Raw genomic sequence first — 6,565 nt, 5'->3', positions numbered from 1 at the left:
TGTGCTGTATGGTATAAATAAATAATATATTTATCTATAACAATACTACTTTATATAATGGAACTAGATGTCACAAATGGCTCTAGTACTAGTAATGCAATTAATCAATATAATGTTTTGTAGGGTTTTGTTTTTTATACTCTTTGTTAAGCCTCCAAACTAGCAAGTACCCATTACAGTAAATGTACAATGGATTATTTCTGTTTCCGCGTTTCAGTCATTAACTCATTAGTTGCATAATCTTAAGGTCAAATTACCTTGTTGAAGGGGACAGTCTGGATCCATTCCGTGGAGCTCACATCAAAAACGTCTGCTGCATTTTCACTGTGCACTGAGAGGCACGGGGCATTGTAACCTGGGAGGAGCAAAGACGGTAACAGCAAACATGGGCTCCGTGATACCTTTTTCAGTGAATTTTTGATGAGATAATTATAGATTCACATGTAGTTGTAAAAATAATACAGAGAGATCCCTTGTACACTCTGCCCAGATTCAATTCACAACAAAATAAAACTTCAGTGTCTGGATTACAAATAATTTAAAACATAGCTAAAAATGTAAAAGTAAAAACCTGCCGTTTTGCTAAGACCAGACCATCAAATATTTAAGAGCATTTAACTTCCAGGACTTGTGGAGTATGCATGACATGAGCCACCAAAAAGAAGTTTTTAAAGGAAGAGTTAAAATAAGTGAAATTTTTTTCTACCTTCATCAGTATAAGCAGTGGAAAACACTTTTGAAAGGGCTGTCCCACCACATAAAACGTTACATTTGTGCTTTTCCAGCATTCTTTTTTTTGTTTGGTTGTATGTTTTTATTTTTTATTATACTTTAAGTTTTAGGGTACATGTGCACAACGTGCAGGTTTGTTACATGTGTATACATGTGCCATGTTGGTGTGCTCCACCCATTAACTCATCATTTAACATTAGGCATATCTCCTAATGCTATCCCTCCCCCCTCCCCCCACCCCACAACAGGCCCCAGTGTGTGATGTTCCCCTTCCTGGGTCCATGTGTTCTCATTGTTCAGTTCCCACCTATGAGTGAGAACATGTGGTGTTTGGTTTTTTTGTCCTTTCGATAGTTTGCTGAGAATGATGGTTTCCAGCTTCATCCATGTCCCTGCAAGGGACATGAACTCATCATTTTTTATGGCTGCATAGTATTCCATGGTGTATATGTGCCACATTTTCTTAATCCAGTTTATCATTGTTGGACATTTGGGTTAGTTCCAAGTCTTTGCTACTGTGAATAGTGCCGCAATAAACATACGTGTGCATGTGTCTTTATAGCAGCATGATTTATAATCCTTTGGGTACATACCCAGCAATGGGATGGCTGGGTCAAATGGTATTTCTAGTTCTAGATCCCTGAGGAATCGCCACACTGACTTCCACAATGGTTGAACTAGTTTACAGTCCCACCAACAGTGTAAAAGTGTTCCTATTTCTCCACATCCTCTCTAGTACTTGTTGTTTCCTGACTTTTTAATGATCACCATTCTAACTGGTGTGAGATGGTATCTCATTGCGGTTTTGATTTGCATTTCTCTGATGGCCAGTGATGATGAGCATTTTTTCATGTGTCTTTTGGCTGCATAAATGTCTTCTTTTGAGAAGTGTCTGTTCATGTCCTTCACCCACTTTTTGATGGGGTTGTTTTTTTCTTGTAAATTTGTTTGAGTTCATTATAGATTCTGGGTATTAGCCCTTTGTCAGATGAGTAGATTGCAAAAATTTTTCTCATTCTGTATGTTGCCTGTTCACTCTGATGGTAGTTTCTTTTGCTGTGCAGAAGCTCTTTAGTTTAATTAGATCCCATTTGTCAATTTTGGCTTTTGTTGCCATTGCTTTTGGTGTTTTAGACATGCAGCCCTTGCCCATGCCTATGTCCTGAATGGTATTGCCTAGGTTTTCTTCTAGGGTTTTTATGGTTTTAGGTCTAACATGTAAGTCTTTAATCCATCTTGAATTAATTTTTGTATAAGGTGTAAGGAAGGGGTCCAGTTTCAGCTTTCTACATATGGCTAGCCAGTTTTCCCAGCACCATTTATTAAATCGGGAATCCTTTCCTCATTTCTTGTTTTTGTCAGGTTTGTCAAAGATCAGATGGTTATAGATGTGTGGTATTATTTCTGAGGGCTCTGTTCTGTTCCATTGGTCTATATCTCTGTTTTGGTACCAGGCGCCTCCGCAACCTCCCAGGAGCTCTGACCAAGGCGCCTCACTGGGGTGGGGAACTTGCCTCACCTGGGGCCATTTCATAATTCTGAATCATGTGTGATAACGGAGAACTGGAAGACAAGCCTCCAGCACCTCCCGTGCGAATGAGCGGGACCATCTTTAGCACTGGAGGCAAAGACCCTTTGTCAGCCAATCACAGTTTGAAACCTTTGCCTTCTGTTCCAGAGGAGAAAAAGCCCAGGCATAAAATCATCTCCATATTCTCAGGCACAGAGAAAGGAAGTAAAAAGAAAGAAAAGGAACGGCCAGAAATTTCTCCTCCATCTGATTTTGAACACACCATCCATGTTGGCTTTGATGCTGTTACTGGAGAATTCACTGGCATGCCAGAACACTGGGCTCGATTACTACAGACCTCAAATATCACCAAACTAGAGCAAAAGAAGAATCCTCAGGCTGTGCTGGATGTCTACGACTCCAACACAGTGAAGCAGAAGTATCTGAGTTTTACTCCTCCTGAGAAAGATGGCTTCCCTTCTGGAACACCAGCACTGAATGCCGAGGGAACAGAAGCACCTGCAGTAGTGACAGAGGAGGAGGACGATGATGAAGAGACTGCCCCTCCCGTTATTGCCCCACCACCGGATCATATGAAATCAATTTACACACGGTCTGTAATTGACCCTGTTCCTGCACCAGTTGGTGATTCAAATGTTGATGGTGGTGCCAAGTCTTTAGACAAACAGAAAAAGAAGACTAAGATGACAGATGAAGAGATTATGGAGAAACTAAGAACTATTGTGAGCATAGGTGACCCTAAGAAAAAAATATACAAGATATGAAAAAATTGGACAAGGGGCTTCTGGTACAGTTTTCACTGCTACTGACGTTGCACTGGGACAGAAGGTTGCTATCAAACAAATTAATTTACAGAAACAGCCAAAGAAGGACTTGATCATTAATGAGATTCTGGTAATGAAAGAATTAAAAAATCCCAACATAGTTAACTTCTTGGACAGTTACCTGGTAGGAGATGAATTGTTTGTGGTCGTGGAATACCTTGCTAGGGGGTCACTCACTGATGTGGTAACAGAAACCTGCATGGATGAAGCACAGATTGCCGCTGTATGCAGAGAGAGTTTACAGGCATTGGAGTTTTTACATGCTAATCAAGTGATCCACAGAGACATCAAAAGTGACAGTGTACTTTTGGGAATGGAAGGATCGGTTAAGCTCACTGACTTTGGTTTCTGTGCCCAGATCACCCCTGAGCAGAGCAAACGCAGTACCGTGGTCAGAACGCCATACTGGATGGCACCAGAAGTGGTTACACGGAAGGCTTATGGCCCTAAAGTCAATGTATGGTCTCTGGGTATCATGGCTACTGAGATGGTAGAAGGAGAGCCTCCATACCTCAATGAAAATCCCTTGAGGGCCTTGTGCCTAATAGCAACTAATGGAATCCCAGAACTTCAGAATCCAGAGACACTTTCCCCAATATTTCGGGATTTCTTAAATCGATGTTTGGAAACAGATGTGGAAAAAAGGGGTTCAGCCAAAGAATTATTACAGCATCTTTTCCTGAAACTAGCCAAACTGTTATCTAGCTTGACACCACTGATCATGGCAGCTAAAGAAGCAATGAAGAGTAACCGTTAACATCACTGCTGTGGCCTCATATTCTTTTTTCCATTTTCTACAAGAAGCCTTTTAGTATATGAAAATTATTACTCTTTTGGGGGTTTAAAGAAATGGTCTGCATAACCTGAATGAAAGAAGCAAATGACTATTCTCTGAAGACAACCAAGAGAAAATTGCAAAAAGAAAAGTATGACTTTTATATGAACCCCTTCTTTAGGGTCCAAAAGGAATTGTGGACTGAATCACTAGCCTTAGGTCTTTCAGCAAACCGCCTATCAGGGCCATTTATCATATGTGAGATTTGCATTTTACTTTGCTGACTTTGTTGTAATAGATCCCATTCATTGTCCCCTTTGGGGTATTTCCAATACTTGAATGGCAGATTGGAGTTTTTCAGAGTATTTGTTTCATCTGCTAGTCTTTCTCTCCTTCATAGCTTTCCTTTTCCTGGACTTGCTCCTTTTGAGTTGCTTTTGAGTTTCTCATGCCTAGGTAAGTGTAATAGAAATTATGTAGCTCCTTATGTTGGCAAAGGAGCTCTATATAGTTTCACTTTTTATAAAAGTTAGGACCAGCTGTTGTTACATGTAATATTTTAGTTCAGAACTTGACCTGAAGGAAGGGAAGAAAAGTATTTGATTTTTACCTTTTTTAATAAATGTGAAAAAGTCAGTTTTAGAAATTTTGTGGTAGTAAGTTTGGCATTTGTTACATGTATAGAGAGAAGACTAATAATCTCTATTTATAACTAAATCATTGAGATAGAAAAAGATTCCCATTGACCGTGTATTTCTTCCCATTTCGTCTTCCCTTCTGCCTGTTTCCCCTTCAGGCTTGGCTCTAGGAACCAAAGTGATTTGTTCTTGTTCCAACCTGGGCTTTGTGACTTTGGTTAGTGCCACTACCTTCTTCCCTCCTTTCCCCCTTCAATTTGGAAATAAATTTCTGTATATGTTGCAATTTTAGGTTTATTTTTGTTCTTTTTGTTTTTCATTAATCCTCTTTCACCTCACAGATACCCCCCTCCCATGGCAAATAATATAATAACCAGTGAATTTTCGGGAATTTAAAATTAGCTTTTTTCCACTTAAAGGAGAACAATATTTGGGACTAGCAGGCGCAGAGTGAGAGACGTGAACCTTGGTGATCTCTGATATAGTGAGAAGAGATTATACTCATGAAAGAGAATGTTAGTGTTACAGAGAAGCAGCCGATAGGAAATCAACTGTAGAGACTTGGAGGCGGCGGCATTGCTCCAGGTCATCATCAGTGTGGTATTATCTATGAGAACTTGAGCGACAGAGTATTTCTTGATGAATTTATAGATCATTTGAGATGTTGAGTTACTTTTGTTTTGTTTTCAAATAGGTAGAGACTATTAATGTAAAAACACAAGAAAGGAAAATGAAATGTGCGTGTTGAGAGCAATAATTTGTTTCTTTTAAAGATTCTGAAAGATCTGAGACCTGTAGCATTAATTATTTGAGTGCCCTCCCTTCTCCCCTCCCCTCCCTTTCTCTTCTCTTCTTTCATCTCCTCTCCTTCTCCTTTATTCATTGTTTTGCTTTGGAATAGGTTGTTCAAGTATTTGGTTTGGTTCTGGCATTTTGTTCCCACCATCCCCTTCCCCCATTAACTTCCCCCCTGCTTGCCATCCTGCAGTAGTATAAATCATGAATAAAAAATAATTTTGCTGTTGTAGTATACATTGGGGAAACTAGCAGGGTTTTATTTCCGTTATTTTATTCCCACTATATCTATGATAAGATACAATTATAAGGAGAGAAGTGACTGTTTTTTATTGATAAGGCAAGATTTTCAGAAAAATGAGTAAAATAATTAATGAAACATATTTAGAGCACTTAATGGTCTCTGTTTTCAATATAATTCTTGATTTCATTTTTCTCTGGAATATATTGGCCTTCTACAGCTATTACTGAATTACAGAAACTGGTTTATTTCTGTCAGAAAGCTGCAGTGCCACCTGAGTTCCAAATTTTAACATTCTTTGTAAATGGATGGATTATGATAAAGAAGATGCTACCAATGAAATAGAAAACCAACGAGATGAGAAGACTGTGATCCTCATGCACTCAGAGGCACTTCCCTTCTAAGTCAAAGACCATTCTCACTGACTATGTGCCAAGGCCTCACTTCAGGCTTGTGACTCAACAAAGGGCTTTTCCATTGATAGAAGCAGTTTGGGATTTGTAGCTACAACTTCTTCAATAGTTACCTGCATGTCCATTGCTGGCAGCTGACTTCAGTCATTAAAACCTGGCTCTTTGGTTAAGGGAGCTACACTGTGGTTTATTCTTAAGTTACATGGATAAACTAACCTCTAGCAGAAATATAGTTTGGTTAATTTTGAGATGTGTCATTTTTAAACAAAATCTTAAAAGCAATACAGAATTGTGATTTATTAATTTTAAATTAAAACATTGAGAACTTGTTGAAAGAAAAATTATATCTGAATCAAGATTCATGTTTTTTATTTTTTATTTTATTTTTTTTTTTTTTTGATACAGAGTCTCACTCTGTCACTTAGGCTGGAGCGCAGTGGCATGATCTCAGCTCACTGCAACCTCCGCTTCCTGGGTTCAAGCAATTCTCATGCCTCAGCCTCCTGAGTAGCTGAGACCACAGGTGCGTGCCACCACACCCAGCTAATTTTTTGTATTTTTAGTAGAGACAGAGTCTCACCATGTTGCCCAGGCTTGTCTCCAACTCCTGAGCTCA

General features: G+C 39.1%; 1 pseudogene; it reads left to right on the top strand.

Moving 5' to 3' along the window:
* The first annotated feature begins 2,115 nt into the window (after positions 1 to 2,115).
* LOC102723432 (serine/threonine-protein kinase PAK 2-like) lies at positions 2,116 to 5,532 on the top strand (annotated as a pseudogene).
* Positions 5,533 to 6,565: the final 1,033 nt, after the last annotated feature.

This window comes from Homo sapiens, assembly GCF_000001405.40.
Source record: "Homo sapiens chromosome 15 unlocalized genomic scaffold, GRCh38.p14 Primary Assembly HSCHR15_RANDOM_CTG1".
Taxonomy (NCBI): domain Eukaryota; kingdom Metazoa; phylum Chordata; class Mammalia; order Primates; family Hominidae; genus Homo; species Homo sapiens.
Note: the sequence above shows the minus strand (reverse complement) of the source record. Positions and strands in the feature narration are given on the sequence as shown.